Here is a 25,719-nt window from a genome sequence, read left to right on the forward strand (position 1 = left end):
AAGAATTTTCTGTTTCATGGTAGAGCTACTCTGGAACCTACATTTAAATCTCTCTATTCTCAAGTTAGGCATTGGTTTTCAAGTATCACAATTCTGTTGTTAAATGAGATTTACTGGTGCACTTAGAAACATTACAAAGCTTTATTGTAGACTAGCTAGGTAAGCTGTTGTGTCTCCCCTTCCTCACTCTGTGGACCCTAGCCCCAGAGTATTAGGAAATATATGGTAACAGGAAATATTGATTCCCCACAAAAAAACACAGAAGAATATGAATTCTTTTTGTGAGATTTGTTATAAGCCTCTAAAATACAAACACAAACCCCTAATGAAATAATGAATCAAGGTCGTCATGTTCAATGATTGCTGACATCACAGATGGGCAATAGAAAATCATGTAACACCTACTGGAAGTTTACAGTACCACCTATAAAGTTTTTTTTTGTCAAAAAATTAAAGTTACATCATGCTTCTAGTTATAACTGCCAGTTTATAGTGAATAAACTAGAAAGAAAAATATATCAAAAAGCACCAGAGAAATTTAATAATCAAAATCCAGAATATGAGATACTCTGAGGACAAACAGTCTGGTGTCATTGACAAATGAATTGCAAGGAAAAGTGGGGGACAACTGTGGATGAGAGACTTAAAATAAATATCAAACAAAAACAGTATGTGAGGCTTCTTGCTTAGAAGCTGATTTGAAGCCAACTATAGTTTTAAAAAATTGATACAAATGTGGAACTCTGAATGCTGACTGGTTGGTTGTTTAATGATATTAAAAAATTATCAAGTTGTTCTGTGTGATGATAGCATTGAGATTATCTTTTTAAAGTTCTTGCCTTTTATAGAGAATAAATGACTTTTATTATAATAACTGGAGCCCTAGACTGTCACTTTATTTAAAAAGACAAATAATCATGTACAAGACAGTACCATTGCCATTATGAGGAGAAATAGATTACAATCCTTATTATATACATATTAGCTATGTTCCATATGGTCACAGGATTTTCCTAAAACTATATCTGTCTGCTTTAAGTAGACTTGTGTTTGCTGAGAATGGAATGGCTTGTTTGAGTCTCCAGGATGACATTTTATAAAGATAACTGAGTTCTGTAGGAAAATAAAAAAGACAATTTTTAAATTGACTAGATTCACTGTTACAATCTTATACTGTGAAAGTCTAAGAAATCAGGCAACATTGTTTCCTAGGTTTTTTCAGATATATTATTATGGATTTACAAAGGTTTTTTTTTGTTTTTTTTTTTGTTTTTGTTTTTTTTTGAGACCACGTCTCACTCTGTTGCCAAGTCTGGAGTGCGGTGGCTCAATACCGTTTACTGCAACCTCTGCCTCCCAGGTTCAAGTGATTCTCATGCCTCAGCCTCCCCAGTAGCTGGGACTACAGGTGTATGCCACCATGCCCAGCTAATTTTTGTACTTTTTTTTTTAAAGTAGCGATGGGGTTTCACCATGTTGACCAGGCTGGTCTCATACTCCTGACTTCAGGTGATCCGTCCGCCTCAGCCTCTCAAAGTGCTGGGATTACAGGTGTGAACCACTGCGCCTGGCCTACATAGAATGCATGAAGAACACCACTAAAGTGCCTTTCTTTCTTCAAAGCAATATTATTTCCAAGTATATTAATTTGTTAGAAAACTTTCCCATGGGAAATATTGTCAGTTACCTGTACTGTAACAACTTATGTTCGGTATTCAAAATTTTCTACATGGATATAAACCACTCTCATGCGCTCTCAGTAGGAGGCATTAGATAAACATACACAACAGTTGGGTTCCTTTGTACAAATGTGGGATAAGAAATACTTTCTTGACATTTTTCCATGGCCAAGTATTCCCATTAAAGTAAGAACAAGAATTGAAGAGATATTTTGTGTATAGAAAAATTTTCATTTAAAAAATATTATTGGTAATCTTGAAGGCATAGATAATGGGCATGTCATAAAATTATCAATTATAACTGGCATTGAGGGGCTGTCCTTCCAAAACTAAACTGAACCTTACCTGGTTACAGATGTAGAACTAGATCACTCCTTTTTCAAATATAGTGGAATCATCCAGTGCATATGTATACAAAGGATCTTGTGGATTATGTGATGATCACCTGCCTTCTTTGATTGCATTAATGCATCATGCTAAACATTCAGCACAGGTTAACAATTCCAGATTTGTTTCTTCTTGAACAACTCAATGCTCTAAATTTTACTATGTGTTTAATAAGACCTTCCCAAATAAAAAATAATAATTTGGAGCTTTTCCTCTGCCCTCTACCATACATTTGCACCAGGAGGAAGATGGAATGAATATGCAGTGTTAAGTTGGTGTATGTGAACAGTGATTTGACATTATGCCAAAGAGAAAACTGCCCCAGTTAAATTCGGTTAAGTAAGATGGCTAAAAGTAAATAAGTTGAAACACTGGAAATTATTTTTCTCATGTTCTCTTGAGGCAATGAAGGGAATATGATACTACAGTATATGAAGTTGTTGGTGTTATACTATGCACAACATATTTTGACTATTTGAATAAATGTTAAATTTTTAATCAATTTGTACCTTAATAGTGACTGGTTTTCTGTAAGTACAGAATAGATATGGATTGTATTTTGTGTCATTTTTTTGTCCTTTTAGTGATTTTTTAAAATGAGAGATGGAATTAACATTGAAAATGGGAATTTTTTCTAACCTAATCGTTACATGAAAAATTTATTTATTTACTTATTTAATTTTTGAGATGGAATCTCACTCTGTCACCCAGGCTGGAGTAGTGCAGTGGTGCAATCTTGGCTCACTGCAACCTTCGCTTCCCGGGGTCAAGCAATTCTCCTGCCTTAGCCTCCCTAGTAGCTGGGATTACAGGTGCACACCACCAAGCCTAGCTAATTTTTGTATTTTTAGTAGAGATGGGGTTTCACTATGTTGACCAGGCTGGTCTCAAATTTCTGATCTCAGGTGATCTGCCCGCCTCAGCCTCCCAAAGTGCTGGGATTACAGGCATGAGCCACTGCGCCTGGCCTTATTTATTTTTTTGGGGCAGAGTCCTGCTGTCACCCAGGCTGAAGGGTAATGGGGCGTTCTTGGCTCACTAAAACCTCCGCCTCCTGGGTTGAAGAGATTCTCCCACCTCAGCCTCCTGAGTAGCTGGGACTACAGGCACGTGCCATCACGCCCAACTAAGTTTTGCATTTTTAGTAGAGACTCTGTTTTACCATGTTGGCCGGGTTGGTCTCGAACTCCTGATCTCAAGCCATTCTCCTGCCTCGGTCTCCCAAAGTGCTGGGATTACAGGTGTGAGCCATCATGCCTGGTCAAAAATAAATTTAGATAGCCCCTCTGTATTGCTAGAAAAGTTCTTACCTTTCAGAAATATACACTTTAATACCTATGAATGAAATGATAAGTTTGATTCAAAATAATTTGGTCCTGAGAAGATAGCATTTAAATGAGGTAAGTTTGGCTATGATGTGAAGATGGATGCAACTTGGTGATGCACTTGATGATGGGTGTTCATGGTGCTCTTTTTTTTTTAAAAAAAAAAAAAGACTGAGTCTCACTCTGTCGCCCAGGCTGGAGTGCAGTGTCACAGTCTCGGCTCACTGCAAGCTCCGCCTCCCGGTTTCACGGCATTCTCCTTCCTCAGCCTCCTGAGTACCTGGGACTACAGGCACCTGCCTCCAGGCCTGGCTAATTTTTTGTTTTTTTGTTTTTTCAGTAGAGCCGGAGTTTCACCGTGTTAGCCAGGATGGTCTCGATCTCCTGACCTTGTGATGGGCCTCCCAAAGTGCTGGGATTACAGACGTGAGCCACCGCGCCCGTACCATGGTACTCTTTTCTGACATTTATGTTTTGAATTTTCTGAAATCAAAAGTAAACAAGCCAATTAAAAAATCCCCACAACACACACACACACACACACACACACACACACACAGACACACTCACACAGAAACCCCTTGTAAGAACTCAGATTTTATTCTGACAATTTCAAGCCTTGACCTGAAGTGCTCTTCCCCTGAAGCCTTTTATGGTTCGCTCACAAGGGATGATCTGGCCTTCATTTGTATGCAGGTAGTGCTCTGGGCTTCCTTCTCTTGTTTTTGACATTGTGTTGTAATTGCTTAGTCACCTGTGGAGTGGAATAATATTTTTGAATGAATCTTTTGTTTCCCATATTTCTTCTTATTCCTTGGCCTTTGCCTGATTCAATCAGCTGAGCATTTTGTGTTCGTTGCCAGCGGGGAATGGGTGATGGAGTAGATAGACAGGGACCAAAAAAGGAGTTGATTCTATTTATTTACCTAGAAGTCGATTTTCAACCTTTGAGTTCCAAAGCCTGGGCATCCTGGTAATAGGAAGAAACCATGTGGAGTAATAGATTTGGTACAAGTTGTGAGGAGTTAGAGAAGAGCACATTTGTAACCAGAATTCTCTAGACTGGAGTAAGGGGGAGAAAGGGGAGAGGGAGGGAACATAGCCTAGTGGGAGACAAAAATAGGTGGGATCTAGAGAAAGCCCAGATCTGGAGGGTTCACACAGATAGGTCCACAGCCAGCCTCCAGAGAGAGCTTGGCCCCACCTGCCCATCCTCTCGAGTGAGTGTTGCTTGGCATCAGCATCAGGGACCCGAGTGTGAACAGTTAGCAGCCACAGACGGTCCTGTCCCCATTCCAGTGTGGCTTAAACATCAGCTTAGCTGTCCTTCTCAGTGCTGGGGTCTTTTATTGTGGAGGAGGGGTGGAGATGGAGGGAATATACGCTGGTAGGAGGCAGAGATAAGTGGGATCTGGGATGGCAGGAGAGACCTGAACTCTGAACAAATTGAGGAATACAGCCAAGAACTGACAAGGGCTACAGTATCACCATTCTTATTGATAAACTTCAGGATTGGAGATGTAAAATAAAATGGATTTACAGAACCCCAGATGGGAGGGCCAGATGCACCTCTTTGTCCCACTGGCAGTGCTGGATGAAGGGCAGGCTCTCTCTCTGGGGCTGGTGGAAGGTCCCGTGAGGTTTTTGGCAGCTCCTACCACTCATCCTGGCAATCAGGTTTGCTACCAAGAGGAAAAAGGGAGAAGATGACATGAGAATACCTCGTTTGTTCTTCCCAATTTTATCAGATAGAGAAGTGACTGTGTTCACTCCTGTGATGAGATTGGGCTGGAGAGCCAGCAGTATTACACTGGTAGTGCTTTTCTCAACATGAAAGAAAACGCCAGGAAAGGGAAAGACACTCTCCCCTCTAACAGTCTGCAGCCAGCACGTCATTTGTTGCTCATCTGGTAGAATGATACCCACCTGCACAAGACTTTGAGCAATACCCAATCAACTGACCCAAGTGAAACCACCACCACCCCCAAATCCCAGGACCCTTGGAATAATGCAGTAGAGACTGCGAGCATTAAGCCCCGAAGGGGCAGTGGTGGCTGTAGGTGAAACTTTAAATTCTCCTACTTACCCATAAAAGTGGTGAAATTCATTTCTATCACGTATCTTTTTTGTCTTTACCACAAGTGTATAAATACTTTTTGAGGGCAAAGATGAAGCTTTATTCACGGCTGTATTTGTGTCCATCAAAAAGGAGAGACTCAGCAAATATTTACTGAACTGAATTGTAGTAACACTATAATATAGTATCATTTTATTAATGATATTTTAATCAATCAGCCAGATAACCTGATCGCTGTGATCAATCCTTTTTTTCTTATGGATTAATCCCATAATTATAACCTCACATATACTCAGTTACAGATTGCCACACATTACCTAATTTTGCCAGTAGATCTTCAAAACAGTTACTGTCTTGCAGTGTTAACAATGACCTCATTCTCTTAAGTAGTTAAAATAGTTAATGAAGGCTGTTAATTTATGAGTATTTCTTCCCTTTCATGCCCTAGTTATGGAAATTGATTTAAGTGTTCTAACCATATTTCTAATTCAATGTATTATTAGCCAGTAAATCAGTCCTTAACTGCTCATGTCACTTTTACAATAGACACACAATTTATCAACTTAATAAAAGAATGTTGTGCTCAACTATCAACATTTATAGGATTCTAATTTCTAAAATGTAGCTCCCATTTCTCTTCAAGTTGTACAAGTTCTCATGGATATATTTTATCTTGTTTCAGACATTTGTCAGTTGTTGACTGCTCACACAAATACCCCTTTCTACCTCTGCCCTGATTACATTTAGGAGAATTAATTATCCCCCTTGTGTGAAGTCTTGGTGGGGTGGTAAATCCACCTATTTGTTTTTCTATTCTGAACTATAAAGGGGAGGCTCCTTCCATAAGATTCTCTTTTTTATCACTCAAGAACAACCAAGAGGCACATAACATTATTAGAGTCTTGTGTGACTTTAAGTTTTGAGTAAAATTATGCAAGGTCAGAAATAAATTGTTGGGAACTCCTTCATGCCAACCACAGCATCTGGACAAGGTTGACAGCAGTTCCTGTTACAAAGACTCTCTAAAGTCACCCGGTTCTATCTGTTTCAAGACTTTTCTTTACAATTTGTGGCTCCCCTATAATCTCCCAATTAATCCCTCAATTTGTGTTTCCATTTGCCAAGATAGTTTCTGTTGCTTGCTACCCTAGAACCTTAACTGATTCATAAAGCTTTGGAGAAAGCATCATGAAATGAAAGAAACCCTGCGATAAGAGGCCTGGGACATGAACTATAGTTGTAGCTTTACAGTTAACTTGCTTTGAGATCCAGTAGCAGTTCCCTATCCTTTCAGATTTTAATTTCCTCATTATAATGCTAATAGCCGAGGCAACCTTGAAGCTTCAGTTTTTAAAGCTATACTTTTATGACTTGTGTTGCTATTGGTTAGGAACCACTATCAGGATATAGTGATTATATTACAGTGGCTACATTATCAACACTGTGGTTAACTTAAGAACTTTCATAGAAGTTTTACTCGATCTTTTAACACACAGGAGTATTCCCGATCTGTTAATCCTTGACTGAGCATTTACTCTGTTGGTCGTCTCTTGGGTGGGGTGACCAGATATTGGAACAGATGCCTACAGCAGAGAAAGTAAAGGGGCATGTAATTACCTGTTCTTGGGAAGTATTACCTCAGTTCACTGGGGTGTTTATGACAGAGCTAGCCTCAAAGATGATTGATGGGATTTGCTTTAGCTCCAGACAGTAAGAAATGCTGACACATTACATTAATGTTAAAATAAAATCTAGTCAGCAAATACTTACTGTAGGTAAGGCACCCTCCCTTTGTGAGGCCTCGCCTTTGTTGTAAATTTCAGGATCTCATACACAGTGTCTAATTTGGAAGTGGTTGTCACTGAATGTTTCCTAATATTTCTAGGCTTTTCCTTGGTTCTGGTATCATCAAAATTGGGCTATTACAATGTAGATTAGTACTTTCAGTGACCCATGGATGGTACTAACACCAACTGCCAACTGCTTCGCATTCGAACTAGACTTTGGTTATTACACTTGGTCTGTATTTCACAGCTCAATAACTCAGTAAATAATACTATAGCAACACAGCATTTAAAGGAAGTTTGACAATTACCCAGGTACTTCTAATGATTTCTAAAATTAATTTGGATACTATAAAATACCTGTGAAATGTACTTTGAGATCACCATGAATGACTGGTATGCAGTTTGCTTGACTACGAAGGTCAAAGCATATCCAGTTCACTTGGCCTTGTATGGCTGCCTACTTGGCTTAGAGTCTTATCTGAAGCACTTACTTCAACCAAGCAGATGATTTTCACTTCTCAGCTTCCTGCAATGACTCTCCATCCCATTAAAATAAAAATCAGTAGTTGTAGAGTAAGCTGATAGGACCCTCCCATGATTTGGTCCTGTTACTTCTCTTGCTTCACTCCTCCCATCTTCCCCTGTTCACCTCATTCTAGCCACACTGGCCATCTTGCTGTTCTTTCTCAGAGATCTTGACCTGCTTGAATAAAGAGCCCTCCAGCACCCTCAGAACCAGGTGAAGGAGCTCTTCACTGCCACTGGAGGCCACCATCAAGACACTCCTGCCACCAGCACTGCATTCTGTTGCTGTGAGAATCAAAGGGTCTCATAGTGCTAGCAGGCCTGATGGCTGCCAGAGTTTTGATTGCAGGAGTCTTTGATGTGCTGGTTGTCTACCGCTCATCAAAGCCGACTCTGTACCTTTTTGCCGTACAGAAGCTAGACACCACTCCTACTGGTGCCATCCCCGTAAGGCAGAGTGCAACACCGCAGCCCGTTGATAATAGTATCTAACATTTGCTTAATACTTACTATATACCAAAAATGATATTCATTTAATATACATAATAACTTTGCGAGGTGTGCACTATTATTATCCATATATTATAGATGACCAAAAGAGAGCCTTTGAAAGAGTTAACAGTATTGTGCAATGTCACACAGGTAACAAGGATAGAGGCTGGATTCCAACTGAGGCATTATAATTCCAGAAACTATGAATTTAATGACTCCAGAATCAAAACATTTAGCCTCACCACTATATTTGGTTAAAGTGGGAAGTAACCCATTCTCCCACCTTTTTGCCACTTTAAGCTCAATGTATTCATGTAGTTTTCATTTAAAAAATATAACTATACTTTTGTGCAGTTTTTACTCACCGCACCAGGGGACAAATCTGAAAGTCAGGCTTTGTGCTAAAAATCAAAATTAGAACAAACTTGAGACCACCTGGAACATTATTATTGGTTCTCACATCACTCCTACAACTTTTAGCAGAATGCAGGAAAGCTTGTCTGTATGATCTAAATTAAAACAATGATGAAGGTGATGATTATTTTTGAGATGACACAGGATTAGGTTGGGAAAAAGTAAGGAGTCAGCAACCCAGGCCCTCGCCTCAGCCATTCTTATTTAAAAGCACCTCTACTTCTCTCATTTTATTTGTTTTACATTTTGGACTTCCTGGTGTGATTTCTTTTAAAGAAAGATTCTGGTGCTTAAAATAAAGAAAAGGAAAAAGAGGAAAATCCGAAATCCAGAGTCACTACTGATGTTCCTTCCTCTTCTCTTTTTTTGGTTGGATATGGTGGGGTCTGGTAAGAAGCATTAATTCAGGGTATGGACTCACAGGGATTTGTCAACAAGGATAGTATATTTTGACAAGGACCAACACGGAGGCCCTGTTTCCTTGGCCGTCTGGACACAGGGGTTGACTTCCGGCAAGGATGCCTTTGAAATGTTTTTTCAGGTTTCTCTTTTGAAGTACAAGGATAAACAGGTCCTCCTTTAAATTCTTTCTATTGTCTTTGATGGTTTCTCTTTTCTCTGTGGATAAAAATAGAAAATTTAAAGAAAATATCAGCTATTTCTGAGACGAGTAGTTTAAAAAGCTCGAGTGTCTCCACAGAGAGCAATTGTGTGGGTATTCGGGCCACATGAAATTCTGATTCGCCAAGGGGATTGTGGCTCAGTCTGAAGCTTTGCCAGGACTTGCATGTCTGGGTGGTACAGGGGTGAGAAATTCTGCTACAACAGCTGCTGTGCTTTCAACACTGTGAGAGCAACATCACCTTAGTATTCCCATAAGCCTTCTCTCCCACTCCTACTTTAGCTATAGAAACTGCATTTAAAGAGAAAAAAATTATGTGCAGGTATAAAGTTGAAATTATTTTATCGCTTGGTTAGATGATTTCCAAATTGAACATTTTATGAGTCCAGAATACAATATCCCTACATATACAAGTGTAAATACTTATTTACATTTAGAAATAACCAGCTCAACAGGTACGTGTGAATGTGGCATAAAATGTAACATTAGAAGAAAGAAATCTCAGCATAGTTCAGGCCATAAAATACTGGAGAAAGTTTTCTTACATTTCATCTGTTAAAGTAGTAACAGAAAAACTCTCATATTCTGTTCCCATGGTTAGGTTGTCTTGCACAGGATGTAGTTATTGAAATGATCTTTTTATAGTTCTGAGTTGATATCTCATAATTATTGACCTGACAGTTTCTTTGCTTTTTTGCAAAATCATTGTAGTCTGCAGCCCATTATCTTTCAAAGAGGTAGAAAATGAATTTCTCAGTGCCTGGCCCTGTAACGACCCATGGTAAACTCCAGAAATGTTTGCTGAATATATAAATGAATGTAGGCATTTCACAGTTCACCGAAAATGAGCACATTGAAACATTTATTTGAAGTCCATTACTTCAGCCCTTTTGAAATAGAGTTCTATTTTCTGACTTGGGAAATCTTTTAAACTCTGGATAAATATGTAAATTCTCACACTTTATATACTTTATGATTCTGTTCAATTTATGGAAGAAACAACAGGTTATTTTAATATGAAGCTCATTTATTTTTGTTTAAATTTTTCCGTATGTTATTGTGGTATTTTGTTACATGAGTAAGTTCTTTAGTGATGATTTGTGTGATTTTGGTGCACCCATCACCTGAGAAGTATACACCGTACCCTATTTGTAGTCTTTTATCCCTCGTCCCCCTCCTACCCTTCCCCTCAAGTCCCCTAAGTTCATTGTATCATTCTTATGCCTTTGCATCCTCATAGCTTAGCTCCCTCTTATATGTGAGAACATACAATGTTTGGTTTTCCATTCCTGAGTTACTTCACTTAGAATAATAGTTCTCCAATATCATCCAGGTCACTGCAAATGCCGTTAATCATTCCTTTTTTATGGCTGAGTAGTATTTCATTGTATATATATACCATGGTTTCTTTATCCACTTGTTGATTGATGGGCATTTGGGTTGGTTCCATGATTCTGCAATTGCGAATTGTGCTTCTATAAACTTGCGTGTGCAAGTTTCTTTTTCGTATAATGACTTCTTTTCCTCCGAGTGGATTCCCATTAATGGGATTGCTGGATCAAATGGTAGTTCTACTTTTAGTTCTTTAAGGAATCTCCACGCTGTTTTCCATAGTGGTTGTACTAGTTTACGTTCCCACCAACAGAGTAAAAGTGTTCACTGATCACTGTATCCATGCCAACATCTATTGTGTCTTGATTTTTTTGATTATGGCCATTCTTGCAAGAGTAAGATGGTATCATATTGCGGTTTTGATTTGCATGTCCCTGATCATTAGTGATGTTGAGCATTTCTTCATACGTTTGTTGGCCTTTTGTATATCTTCTTTTGAGAATTGTTTATTTATGTCCTTGGCCTACTTTTTGATGGTTTTTTTTCTTACTGATATGTTTGAGTTCATTATAGATTCTTGATATTAGTCCTTTGTTAGATGTATAGATCGTGAAGATTTTCTCCTACTCTGTGGTTGTTTGTTTACTCTGCTGACTGTTCCTTTTGCCATGCAAAAGCTCTCTAGTTTAATTAAGTCCCAACTATTTATCTTTGTTTTTATTGCATTTGCTTTTAGGTTCTTGGTAATGAAATCCTTGCCTGAGCCAATGTCTAGAAGGATTTTTCCAGTGTTATCTTCTAGAATTTTTATAGTTTCAGGTCTTAGATTTAAGTCCTTAATCCATCTTGAGTTGATTTTTATATAAGGGAGAGATGAGGATCCAGTTTCATTCTCCTACATGTGGCTAGCTAATTATCCCACCACCATTTGTTGAAAAGGATGTCCTTTCCCCACTTTATGTTTTTGTTTGCTTTGTTGAAGATCAGTTGGCCATAAGTATTTTGGTTTATTTCTGGGTTCTCTATTCTGTTCCTTTGGTTTGTGTGCCTATTTTTATACAAGTACCATGCTGTTTTGGTGACTATGGCCTTATAGTATAGTTTGAAATCAGGTAGTGTGATGCCTCTAGATTTGTTCTTTTTGCTTAGTGTTGCTTTTGCTCTGCAGGCTCTTTTTTGGTTCCATATGAATTTTAGAATTGTTTTTTCTAATTCTGTGAAGAATGATGGTGGTATTTTGATAGGAATTGCATTGGAATTGTAGATGCTTTTGGCAGTATAGTCTTTTTAATAATATTGATTCTACCCATCCATGAGCATGGGATGTATTTCCATTTGTTTGTGTCATCTGTGATTTCTTTCAGCATTGTTTTGTAGTTTTCCTTGTAGAGGTCTTTTGACTCCTTTGTTAGGTATGTTCCTAAGTATTTTATTTTATTTTAGTTTTTTGCAGCTATTGTAAAAGGGGTTGAGTTCTCGATTTGATTCTCCACTTGGTCACTGTTGGTGTATAGAAGAGCTACTGATTTGTGTACATTAATCTCGTGACCAGAAACTTTATGGAATTCTTTTATCAGTTCTAGGAGCTTTCTGGAGGTCTTTAGGGTTTTCAAGGTAAATGATCATATTGTCAACAAACAGTGACAGTTTGACTTCCTCTTCATTGATTTGATGCCCTTTATTTCTTCCTCTTGTCTGATTGCTCTGGCTAGGACTTCCAGTACTATGTTGAAGAGGAGTGGTGAGAGTGGGCATCCTTGTCTTGTTCTAGTTCTCAGAAAGAATGCTTTCAATTTTTCCCCATTCAGTATTATGTTGGCTGTGGGCTTGTCATAGATGGCTTTTATTACATTGAGCTATGTCCCTTGTATGCTGATTCTGCTGAGAGTTTTAATCATAAAGGAATGCTGGATTTTGTTGAATGCTTTTTCTGCATCTATTGAAATGATCATGTGATTTTTGTTTTCAATTTTGTTTATGTGGTTTATCACATTTATTGACTTTCATATGTCAAACCATCTCTGCATCCCAGGTATGGAACCCAATTGATCATGGTGGATTATCTTTTTGATATGTTGTTGGATTCGGTTAGCTAGTATTTTGTTAAGGATTTTAGCATCTATGTTCATCAAGGATATCAGTCTGTAGTTTTCTTTTTTGCTTGTGTTCTTTCCTGGTTTTGGTATTAGGGCAATGCTGGCTTCATAGAATGAATTGTGGGGCCGGGGGTGGGGGGTGGTTCCTTCTTTCTCTAACTTGTGGAATAGTGTCAAAAGGATTGATACCAATTCTTTGAATGTCTGGTGGAATTCGGCTGTGAATCCATCTGGTCCTGGACTTTGTTTTGTTGGTAACTTTTTAAGTACCATTTCAATCTCGCTGCTTATTGTTGGTCTGTTCAGGGTATCTAATTCTTCCTGATTTAAGCTAGGAGAGTTGTTGTTTTCCAAGAATTTATCCACTGCCTAGGTTTTCTAATTTATGTGCGTAAAGGTGTTCATAGTAGCCTTGAATGATCTTCTGTATTTCGTGTTGTCAGTTGTAATATTTCCTGTTTCGTTTCTTAGTGAGGTTATTTGGATTTCTGTTTTCTTTTCTCGGTTAATCTGGCTAATGGTCTATCAATTTTACTTATCTTTTCAAAGAACCAGCTTTTTGTTTCATTTATCTTTTGTATTTTCTTTTGTTTCAATTTCATTTAGTTCTGCTCTGATCTTGGTTATTTCCTTTCTTCTGCTGGGTTTGGGTTTAGTTTGTTCTTGTTTCTCTAGTTCCTTGTGGTGTGATCTTAGAATGTCAGTTTGTGCTATTTTGGTCTTTTTGATGTAGGCATTTAGGGCTATGCACTCTCCTCTAAGCACCGCCTTTCCTGTATCCCAGAGGTTTTGATAGGTTGTGTCATTATTGTCGTTCAGTTGGAAGAATTTTTTAATTTCCTTCTTGACTTCATTTTTGACCCAATGCTCATTCAGTAGTAGGTTATTTAATTTCCATGTATTTGCATGGTTTTGAAGGTTCCTTTTACAGTTTTATTCCTCTGTGATCTGAGAGTGCTTGATATAATTTCAATTATCTTAAATTTATTGAGGCTCATTTTATGCCCTATCATATGGTTTATCTCGGAGAAAGTTCCATGTGCTGTTGAATAGAATGTGTATTCTGCAGTTGTTTGATGAAATGTTCCATACTTGTCTGTTAAGTCCATTTGTTCCAAGGTATAGTTTAAATCCATTGTTTCTTTGTTGACTTTCTGTCTTGATGACCTGTCTAGTGCTGTCAGTGGAGTATTGAAGTCTCCTACTATTATTGTGTTGCTGTCTATCTCATTTCTTAGGTCTATTAGTAATTGTTTTATAAATTTGGGAGCTCCAGTATTAGGTGCATATATGTTTAGGATTGTGATATTTTCCTGTTGGACAAGACCTTTTACCAATACATAATGTCCGTCTATCTTTGTCTCTTTTAACTGATGTTGCTTTAAAGTTTGTTTTGTCTGATACAGGAACAGCTACCCCTGCTTGCTTTTGGTGTCCATTTGCATGAAATGCCTTTTTCCACCCCTTTACTTTAAGTTTATGTGAATCCTTATTTGTTAGGTGAGTGTCCTGAAAGCAGCAGATAGTCTGTTGGTTAGTTCTTATTCATTCTGTAGTTCCGTATCTTTTAAGTGGAGCACTTAGGCCATTTACATTAAATGTTAGTATTGAGATGTGAGCTACCATTGCATTCATCATGCTATTTGTTGCCTGTGTACCTTGGTTTTTTTGTTTTTGCTTTTTAAGTTGTATTTTGTTTTATATATCCTGTGTGATTTATGCTTTAAAGAGGTTCTGTTTTGATGTGTTTCCAGGGTTTGTTTCAAGATTTAGAGCTCCTTTTAGCAGTTCTTGTAGTGGTGGCTGGGTAGTGGTGAATTCTCTCATCATTTGTTTGTCTGAAAACAACTGTATATTTCCTTCATATATAATGCTTAGTTTTGCTGTATACAAAATTCTTGACTGATAATTGTTCTATTTGAGGAGGCTAAAGATAGGGCCCCAATCCCTTCTAGTTTGTAGGGTTTCTGCCGGGAAATCTGCTGTTAATCTAATAGGTTGTCCTTTATACATTACCTGGTGCTTTTGTCTCACAGCTCTTAAGATTCTTTCTTTCATTTTAACTTTAGACAACCTTACGACAATGTGCCTAGGCGATGATCTTTTTGTGATTAATTTCCTAGGTCTTCTTTGTGTTTCTTGTATTTGGATGTCTAGGTCTCTAGCAAAGCTGGGAAGTTTTCTTCAGTTACTCCCCCAGATATATTTTCCAAACTTTTAGGTTTCTCTTCTTCCTCAGGTACACCGATTAATCTTAGGTTTGGTCGTTTAACATAATCCCAGACTTCTTGGAGGCTTTGTTCATATTTCCTTATTCTTTTTTCTTTGTCTTTGTTGGACTGGGTTAATTCAAAGACCTTGTCTTTGAGCTCTGAAATTTTTCTTCTACTTGTTCAATTGTATTGCTGAGATTTTCCAGAGCATTTTGCATTTCTATGTATGTGTCCATTGTTTCTTGAAGTTTTGATTGTTTTTTCTTTATGCTATCTATTTCCCCCTTCACGTCTGGTATCATTTTTTGGATTTCCTTGCATTGGGCTTTGCCTTTTTCTGGTGCCTCCCTGATTAGTTTAATAACTAACCTCCTGAATTCGTTTTCAGGTAAATCAGGGATTTCTTTTTGTTTTGGATCCATTGCTGGTGAACTAGTATGATTTTGGGGGGCTGGTAAGGAACCTTGTTTTGTCATATTATCAGAATTGGTTTTCTGGTTCCCTCTCATTTGGGTAGCCTCTGTCAGAGGGAAGGTCTAGAGCTGAAGGCTGTTGTTCACATTCTTTTGTCCCACAGGGTGTTCCCTTGATGTAGTACTCTCCCCCTTTTCCTATGGATATGACTTCCTGTGAGCTGAGCTGTAGTGATTGCTATCTCTTTTCTGGGTCTAGTCACATAGCAACTCTACCGAGCTCCTAGCTGGTACTGGGGGTTTTCTGCACAGACTCCTGTGATGTGAACCATCTATGGGTCTCTCAGCCATGGATACCAGCACAGTATTCGGGGAGTCTCCTGGGTCCTAAAGGAGAAGTCTGCTTCCTTCAGTGGGTCTGTGGGTCCTCTCGGGATCTGTATGAAGCTCTTGAAGTTCAAACTGAGATATAAAGGTGAAATAGGTCAATGCAAATATGGAGTATCTAACTTACATAATTTTTAATGTTTGTCTATTTTGAACTGTAGTAGCATTTACTTTTGCTTTAGGTTAACCCTTTAAAGCCTTCAGTTGCTCCAGTGGGAGATAGAATCATTCCCCCAGTTTTCTGAAGGAATAACCACTTTGAAATAGGAGCCAAGAGGAGAATCTATCCTCCCTCTGAGTGTTTATTGTTTTGAACACAGATTTCTGAGATATTATGTGTCTGGAGAGGACCAGAGTGCTGACATCATTTTTGACTTGAAAATATGTCTATGATAAAATAGGAGTCAACACATAGAATTGAGGTTCATAGAGTAGGCACACAACATTTTCATATAAAGTGATCCATCCCCTCAAACCAATATTAGGTTATGATATATTTACTTAACATACTGTAAACAGAGCTTTTACTTCATCAGTGTTAGAACATTAACCTTAGAAAGGACCTTAGAAATCTAGTTGATGTGTGAATTTTCAGAATCGATATCCAACCATTCTATAAATTACTGTGCTCTGTAACTTCATCTCCTCATGACATGGCCAGTCTAATTTAGGATAGCTCTATTAGTTGAATAGGTCTTTCTCATAAGGAGTTGAAATTCCTTTCTGTATCTTTGGATAGATGCTAGTTGCATTGGTACCTTTTGTAGGGATGATCCAAGGGATAGAGCTGTGACTGGTGGGTGAAATTTACTTGGAGGCTGATCATTATTATTTAAAAAAATTTCCCTGGTGAAAATTATCTTGGCATATAGAGTGGAGTGCTTCAGGGTGGTGGTGGTAATGAATTACCCCTCACTGAAAGAAAGAGTTTGAGTTAGGCTGAGTAATCAATGGACCAAGAATACTGCTCAGGAGAGTCAAGTATCTAAATAAAGATTGAGATAGGTGACATTTAAATGATTCATTTAACCCTGAGACTTTATGATAGACTTCTTTAGATGCCTCTTCAGGAATCCATATGTGTACACCCAACTGCCTGCTTGCCATCTCCATAGATATCTGAATATCATTTCAAACTCAACATATCTGACATTACACTCTTGATTTATTTTTTCAATTCTGCTTATTCAACTATCTTCCTCAATTTTCATGTCAGTAAGTGGGTCCTCTACATAGCCATCAAAATAATTCTTTAAAAACTCTCCTATCCCTTCTCATCTTACCTCCTGTTCACTTTGCCTGGAATGTCACTCTCTCCCTTCATATATTTGCATGTCTAACCCTTCATTTTCTCTGCCTCTGCTCAAATATCATCACTTCTGAAATGTTCTCCTGGACCACAATATCTGATGTAGCACTCCCTGGCACCCCTCTTTATTATTCTTTATCTCTCATATCTACTTTATTTTTCCATGGTAAATTGACATCACCATCTAATATTTATTTACTTGCTTAACTGATTATTGTCTGTCTCCCCAGTTAGAATTTAAGCTTCTTTGGGAAAGGAAATTTGTTATATTCATTGCTATATCCTCAGTGCTAGAACAATTCCTGGTCAATATTAGGTATTCAATAAATATATGTTGAAATGATGTTAATGGATAATAATAGAGATTTAGTGTAAACAGGAAAATAAAGAGTAAAAATGTAGCATAAGCTAGCATATACAGGAAAAGAAAGGAAAGGTTCTTATTAATTTTTCATAGCAAAGCAAAATAACTTAAGGGCTTTGATGCATGCTCACAGAATCTTCCGTTCAAACCAGCCATTTTCCTATGAACCTTGAATGGTCATTAGTCCATACGTTCACTCTTGGCTTTCATTTCAAAAGGAATGGAGACATTGCAAACGTCATCAGCACTGATTGTAACCAGTTTCTGTAGAGAATACAGATCCCCAGACATACCAGATACCAGAGTTGGCTGACACTGAAAGATAGCCAGGGGTGAGAAATAATCATTGGTTTTACCCCTAAATCAGTTTTATAGGTGGAAGACAAGATCTGTCTTTGTTATCTACAGGGAGATCCTTATTTGCCCCTTCCACAGATACAGTCTTTCTAATTCCAAATCCTCTGGGTCTAGGCTTTCTAACCTGTGCAAATTATAAGTTTTAACATAACAAACAAAGTATTTGTTTAAACATAACAAACCTCCTATCTCAATTAAACTTAGATGGGATGACAGTCACTTTCAATTTTGCCACAAAAAAATGTAATTACTTCTCTTTTTTGCTTTAATAAAATAGCTTTGTTCTAAATAATAATACATAATGATTTGTACATTTTTCTAAAATTAATGTTACTATATTTTACATCTATTTTTCAGTTTCTATTAATAACAAGAAAATCAATATTCTCTGAGTGTATACATTTTAAATCTTTCCTATGCAACAATTATTTTCTTTTTCTTTTCTTTTCTTTTTTTTTTTTTTGAGACAGAGTCTCATTCTGTCACCCAGGCTGGAGTGCAATGTCATGATCTCGGCTCACTGTAACTTCCGCCTCCCAGGTTCAAGTGATTTTCTTGCCTCAGCATCCCAAGTAGCTGGGATTACAGGCATGTGCCACCATGCCCAGCTAATTTTGTATTTTTAGTAGAGATGAGGTTTGACCACGTTGGTCAGGCTGGTCTCGAACTCCTGACCTCAGGTTATCCACCTGCCTAGGACTCCCAAAGTGCTGGGATTATAGGTGTGAGCCACTGCGCCCGGCCCACAAGAGTTTTAAATGCTAGTGGGGAAAGCAGTGGATTTTTATTTTTCTTAAAACTTGAATACATCATCTTATAACTATTATATCATAGAATTTAAATTTGTTGAGAACAAATTTTGTGGGGATTATTTATTTAAGGTCTGGAAGACTTCTATTTTAATGAGAAATGTATCAGAGAAAATAAAGAAAAATGTTTCTAGATTCTTCAAGGAATGAAGTTGTTTTCTTAATGAGTCACACTTAGGGTGATACATTAAATGAGAGAAACGTGGTTGTCAATCTATTCTATTCTGGAACAGTTTAGCAACTTGTGAAATATCAGACCGTTTGGACCAATATCCCCACTTCTATGCATTTTCCCTATGGGGATGATCATACAAGAGTGAAAAGACATAAGCACATGAATGTTTCTTATAAATCTGTTTTTAATATAGAAAACTTGGAAACATCCCAAATATTCACCAGTAGGGGAATGATTAAGTAAATTACTGCACATACAAATAATAAAATTCTCAAGTCATTAAACTTGATGTAGCTCAACATTTATTGACATTAAGTGATATTTGTGACATACTGTTGAGTCAAAAAAACAAGTGAAAAATGTCTAAGTATGGTTCCATTTATGTAAAATTATATTCTTCTCTTTAGAAAGACATTCACTGAATTTTTTTTTATGATTATTTACAGGGAATGGAATTTTGATTTTTTTGTTCCTTAGGCTTTTTTGGTTTTTACAATTCTATTAGGTATATATATAATTTTAATAAAAACAATGTGAGTTTATAGGCAAATTTCTTAGAATGAAGTAAAATGTAATTGGAAACATACTGCTTGGAACTATTTATGGAAGCAAATCTAACTGAAGTCAATTTGGAATCAGTTTGTTTAATGTAAGAAAAATATTGGAAATAATATTATATAAAGAATTTCTTAATGAAAATAAAATTTTAAAAAGAATTTTAAAAGATAATATAAACACCATAACCTAAAATGTCATTTTTCCTAGCTTCATTGAGGTATAATTAAAGATGAAAATTATATATCTTTGAGGTGTATGACATGATGTTTTGATATAGGATATATTAGAAAATGTTTACCACAATCAACCTAACTAACATATCCATCACCTCACCTAGTTATCATTTCTTTTTTCTAGTGAGAACACTTGAGATCTACTGTTTTGACTAATTTCAAGTATACAATAAATTATTGTTAGCTGTAGTTATCATGCTATACATTAAGTCGGCAGAAACTACTCATCCTATAACTGAAAGTTCTATCCATCAACATCTTCCTTCACCCTACTCTCCTGCCTCAAGCCCCTAGTAACCTCCATTCAATGCTCTGTTACTATGAAATTGACTTTACCTTCCATTCTGTGTATGGCTTGTTTCATTTAGCATAATGTCCTTCAAGTTCAACTATGTCACAAATGACAAGATTTCTTTCATTTTAAGGCTGAATAATATTTCATTATATATATAATATTCATATATATATCCTTTTCTTTCCATTCATCTCTCAATGGACAATTAGGTTGTTTCCATATCTTGGCTACTGCGAATAATGCTGCAATGAACATGGGAATGCTAATATCTCTTTGTGATAGCAATTTTATTTCTTTTGGATATATACCAAGAAGTGGGATTTCTGGGTCAAACATTAGTTCTATTTTTAATTTATTAAGAAACTACCATACACTTCCCATAATGGCTCTTCCAATTTATATTCCCACCAATGTTTTATAAGGGTTTGCTTTTTTCTTAACATCCTAACCAATACTTGTTTTCTTTTGACTTTTTTTGATAACAACCATCCTAACTAGCGTGAGGCAATATCTCATTGTGGTTTTGATTTGCATTTCCTTGATAATTATTGATGTTTGTATACTTGTTGGACATTTGTATGTCTTCTTTGGAAAAATGTTTCTTAAGATTCTTTACCTATTTTTAATCAAGTTATTTGGTTTCTTTTTTTTTTCTATTGAACTGTAGGAATTCCTTGTATATTTTGAAATATATGATGATATTATATTTTATATACTTTTATGTATTTTGGACCTTAACTCCTTAATAGATATGTGCTTGCAAATATTTTATCCCATTCTGTGTGCTGTCTTTTCATTTTGTTGAATGTTTTCTTTGCTGTGCAGAAACTTTTAAGTTTGATGTAGTCTGACTTTTAAATTTTTGTTTTGTTTCCTGTACTTTGATGTCAAATCCAAAAAAATCATTGCAAAGACCAATGTCATAAAGCTTTTCCCCTATGTTTCTTCTAGGAGTTTTACAGTGTCAGGTCTTACACTTAAGTCTTTAATCCATCTTGAATTAATTTTTGCACATGGTGTAAGATAAGGGTCCAATTTCATTCTTTTGCTTGTGGATATTCAGTTTTCCCAACACCATTAGTTGAAGAGACTGGGCTTTCCCCATTGTTTATTCTTGGAGCCTTTGTCAAAAATTAGTTGACAATATGTGTGTGGGTTTATTACTGGGATCTCTATTTTGTTCCATTGGTCTATGTGTCTGTTTCTATGCCAGTATCATACTGTTTCAATTACTATAGCTTTGTAATACAACTTGAAATCAAGAAGTGTGATGCTTCCAGCTTTGCTCTTTTTGCTGAAGATTGCTTCAGCTATTTGGAGTCCTTAGGGGTGCCATATGAATTTTAGGATTGTTTTTCTATTCTGTGAAAAATGCCACTGACATTTTAGTAAGAATTGCATTGAATCTGTAGATCAGTTTGGGGGCATTTTAAAGAACATTATTGTATGAACATTTTAACAGTATTCTTCCAATCCATGAACATGGATATCTTTCCATTTATTTGTGTTTTCTTTAATTTTTTTCATCAATATTTTACAGTTTTCAGTGTATAGGTATTTCAACTCTTTTGTTAAAATTGCTCCTTTTTATTCTGTTTGATGCTGTTGTAAATAGGATTGTTTTCTTAATTACCACAGCATCAAACAGAATTAGTTACATTGTTATTGTTAGTGAACATAAACATAACTAATTTTTGTATGTTGATTTTGTATCCTGCAAGTTTACTGAATTCATTGATTAGTTCTAACAGTTTTTTGGTGGAGTATTTATGGCTTTCTGTATATAAGATTATGTCATTAGCAAACAGAGGTAATTTTACTTTTCTTCTCCAATTTAGATGCCTTCTATTTCTTTTTCTTACTCTGGCTTGGACTTCCAGTACTATGTTGAATAGAATTGATGAGATGAGCACCTTTGTCTTTTAGTTTTTCACTGGTGAGAATGACATGAGCTGTGGGTTTGTTATATATCCTTTAGTATGTTGAAGGACATTCCTTCTATACCTAATTTGTTGAGAGTTTTTATCATATAAGGATGTTGAATTTTGTCAAATGCTTTTTCTGCATTTATTGAGATGCTCATGTAATTATATTCTTCATTTTGTTAATATGTGGTTTTACATTTATTGATTTGCATATGTTAAACCATCCTTGCATCTGAGGAATAAATACCACATGATCATGGTGAATGATCCTTTTAATTTGATGTTGAATTCAGTTTGCTTGTATTTGTTTGAAATTTTTGCATCTATGCTCTTCAGGGATATTGGCCTGTAATTATCTTTTCTCATGGTATCCTTGTCTGGCTTTGGTATCAGGATAATGCTGACCTTGTAAAATGAGTTTGGCAGTATATCCTTGCCTTCAATTTTTTGGAAGAATTTAAAAAGAATTGGTACTAATTTTTCATTAAATGTTTGATACAATTCATCTGTGAAGCCATTCAGTCCTTGACTTACCTCTTTTTTTGTTGTTTTTCTGAGATGGAGTTTCACTCTTGTTGCCCAGGCTGGAGCGCAATGGCGCAATCTCGGCTCACTGCAACCTCTGCCTCCCAGGTTTAAGCGATTCTCCTGCCTCAGCCTCCAGAGTAGCTGGGATTACAGGTGTACACCACCACACCTGGCTAATTTTGTATTTTTAGTAGAGACAGGGTTTCGCCTTGTTGGTCTGGCTGGTCTCGAACTCTTGACCTTAGGTGATCCGCCTGCCTCAGCCTCCCAAAGTGCTGGGATTACAGGCGTGAGCCACTGCACTCGGCCCCTTGACTTATCTTTTTAAGGAGAGTTTTAATTACTGACTTAATCTCGTTTTTGCTATTGGTCTGTTCAGATTTTCTATGTCTTCATGATTCAGTCTTGGTAGGTTGAATGTTTTCAGAATTTATCCATTTCTTCCAGGTTATTCAATTGTTTTGGTGTGTAATTGTTCATAGGAGTCTCATATATTTCTACGGTATCAGTTGAAATGTCTCCTCTTTCATTTATAACTTTATTTATTTGAGTCTTCTTTTCTTAATTAGTCTAGCTAGACATTTGTCAATACTTATCTTTTCAAAAAATAACTTAGTTTCAGTGATCTTTTGTATTGTTTTTCTCTTTATTTTGTTTATTTCTGCCTTTATCTTTTTTATTTTCTTCTATCTGCTGACTTGGGGCTTAGTATTTTCTCTAGTTTCTTGAGGTGTAAAGTTATATTTTTTATATGAGATCTTTTTTTCTTAATGTAGGCATTTATCACTGTAAAATTTCCTCTTAGAACTGCTCTTGCTGCATCCTATAAGTTTTAGTATGCTGTGTTTTCATTTTTGTTTGTCTTAAAATACTTTTTGAGTTCCCTCTTGATTTCTTCTTTTATCTATTGGTTTTCAGGAGTGTGTTGTTTAATTTCCATATATTTTTGAATTTTTCTATTTTCTTTATACTACTGAATTCTAGTTTTATACCATTTTGGTTAGAAGAGACACTTGATATAATTTCAATCTTCTTAAATTTGTTAATCCTTGTTTTGTGGCCTAACACCTGATTTCTTACAGAGAATTCTATGTGTGTTTGAAAACAATGTATATACTGCTGCTGTTAGGTCAATTGTCCTATATATGTTTGTTGGGTCTATTTTGTCTATAGTGTTATTCAAGTCTGCTGTTACCTTATTGATTTTCTATCTGGATAATCTTTGTATTGTTGAAAGTGGGGTATTGAAGACCCCTACTATTATCATATGACCATCTATATCTATCTTCATTTCTGTTAATATTTAATTTGTATCTTTAGATGTTCTGATGTTGGGTACATATATATTTACAATTGCTATGTATTCTTGATGAATTGACTCCTTAATCATTATGTAACATAATACTTTGTCTCTTATGGCAGTTTTTTACTTAAAGTCTGTTTTATCTGCTGTAAGTATAGCCTGCTCTGTTTTGCTTACCATTTGCTTGAAATATCTTTTACCATTCCTTTATTTTTAACCTATGTGCACCCTGAAAGCTAGTCTCAGGTGCACAGTGTGTAATTGGATGTTGTTTTTTTAAATAGATTTGGCCACTTTGTCTTTTGATTGGGGAATTTGATCCATTTACATTTAAAGTAATTATTGATAGCTAAGCAGTTACTACTGCTATTTGTTAATTATATTGTGACTCTTTTATAGTTCTTTTGTTCCATTCATTCTTTCTTCCTGTCTTTCCTTGTGACTTGATACTTTTCGTAGCGGTATGCTTTGATTCCTTTTTCTTTCTCTTTTGCCTATCTACTACAGATTTTTCCTTTATGGTTACCATGAAGCTTACATAAAACATCTTAAAATTATAGCACTCCATTTTAAGCTAATAATTATTTAACCTTGACCACATACAAATCTCCACATTTTAACTTCTCCTCTCCAAACATTTTATGTTATTGATGTAGCAATTTATTTTGTTTTAGAGATGGAGTCTCTCTCTGTCACCCAGGCTGAGCAGTGGTGTGATCTTGGCTCACTGCAACCTCTGCCTCCTCAGTTCAAGTGATTTTCCTGCCTCAGCCTCCTGAGTAGCTGGGATTACAGGCATGCACCACCATGCCCAGCTAATTTTTGTATTTTTAGTAGAGATGGGTTTTTGCTGTATTGGCCAGGCTGGTCTTGAACTCCTGACCTCAAGTGATCTGCCCACCTTGGCCTCCCAAAGTGCTGGCATTCCTGGCATGAGCCACCATGCCCAACCCTGCAGTTTACAATTTTGTGCATCATGTATCCATTAACAAATTATTGTAGCTGTAGTTATTTTTAATACCTTTGTCTTTTTATTTTTGTACTATACTAGAGTTAAAAGTGATTTTATGCATCACATTATTATTCTAGATTTGACTATATTCTTACTTTTAGAGTGAGTTTCATACTTTCCTATATTTCCATGTTGTTAGTTAACATTGTTTCACTTTAATTTGAACTACACCCTTTAGCATTTTTTGTAAGGCAGGTGGAATGGTGATAAACTCCCACAGGCTTTGTCTGGAAAAGTCCTTACCTCTCCTTCATTTCTGAAGAATAGCTTTGCTGATTATGGTATTTTTGGTTGATAGGTTTTTCTTCTTTCAGTACTTTAAGCATATCATTCCACCCTCTTTTGACCTGGAAGGCTTCTGCTTAGAAATCCCCTGATAGCCATATATGGGTTCCTTTGTATGTAATGAGTTGCTTTTGTCTTTTTGCTTTAAAAATTCTTTGTCTTTGACTTTTGACAATTTGATTATAATGTGTCTCAGTGAAGATCTCTATAACTAAATACAAATTTAATTTACTTAGGGTTCTTTGTGCTTCATGGATGTAGATATTCACTTCCCTCTCCAGATCTGGAGATTTTTCTGCCATTATTTCTTTAAATGAGCCTTCTACCCCTTACTCTTCCTCTGCTCTTTTGTGACTTTCACAATACATATATTGGTTCACTTGATTGTGTCCCATACGTCCTGTAGGCTTTCTTTATTCTTTTCATTTCTTTTTGTTTTTCTGGGTTACTTCAAATGGCCTATGTTCAAGCTCACTGGTACTTCTGCCTGATAGAGCCTGCTGTTAAAGCTTTCTAAGGTATTTTTCAGTTTGGTCACTGGTTCTTTAGCTTTGGAATTTATGTTCGGTTCTTTTAAAAATAATTTCTATGCTTGAACTCCTTGTTGAGCTTTTCATTTTGTTTGTATATTGTTTTTCTGATTTTTTTATATTTTTTTCCAGGTTCCAAATGTGTTTTTTATTCACTATTTTTGATGACTATAAATAAGTGTTTCCACTATGGAAAAGAAAGTTGGCACAGTACATTTTCATGACTGGGGAATGGGTTTTCTGAAGTCATCTTCAATATGGCAAAAACTTAAGAAACAAACAAAAAA

General features: G+C 36.4%; 1 annotated feature.

Annotated features, from left to right (window-relative positions):
• Window positions 6,409–7,022: an enhancer, noted in NCBI's record as "NANOG hESC enhancer chr12:77358407-77359020 (GRCh37/hg19 assembly coordinates)". NCBI's record gives its function as "activates a minimal SCP1, AML or CMV promoter by ChIP-STARR-seq in primed H9 embryonic stem cells {active_cell/tissue: H9 hESC(primed)}" and the evidence as "EXISTENCE:reporter gene assay evidence [ECO:0000049][PMID:30033119]".

Source organism: Homo sapiens, chromosome 12 (assembly GCF_000001405.40).
Source record: "Homo sapiens chromosome 12, GRCh38.p14 Primary Assembly".
NCBI lineage: Eukaryota > Metazoa > Chordata > Mammalia > Primates > Hominidae > Homo > Homo sapiens.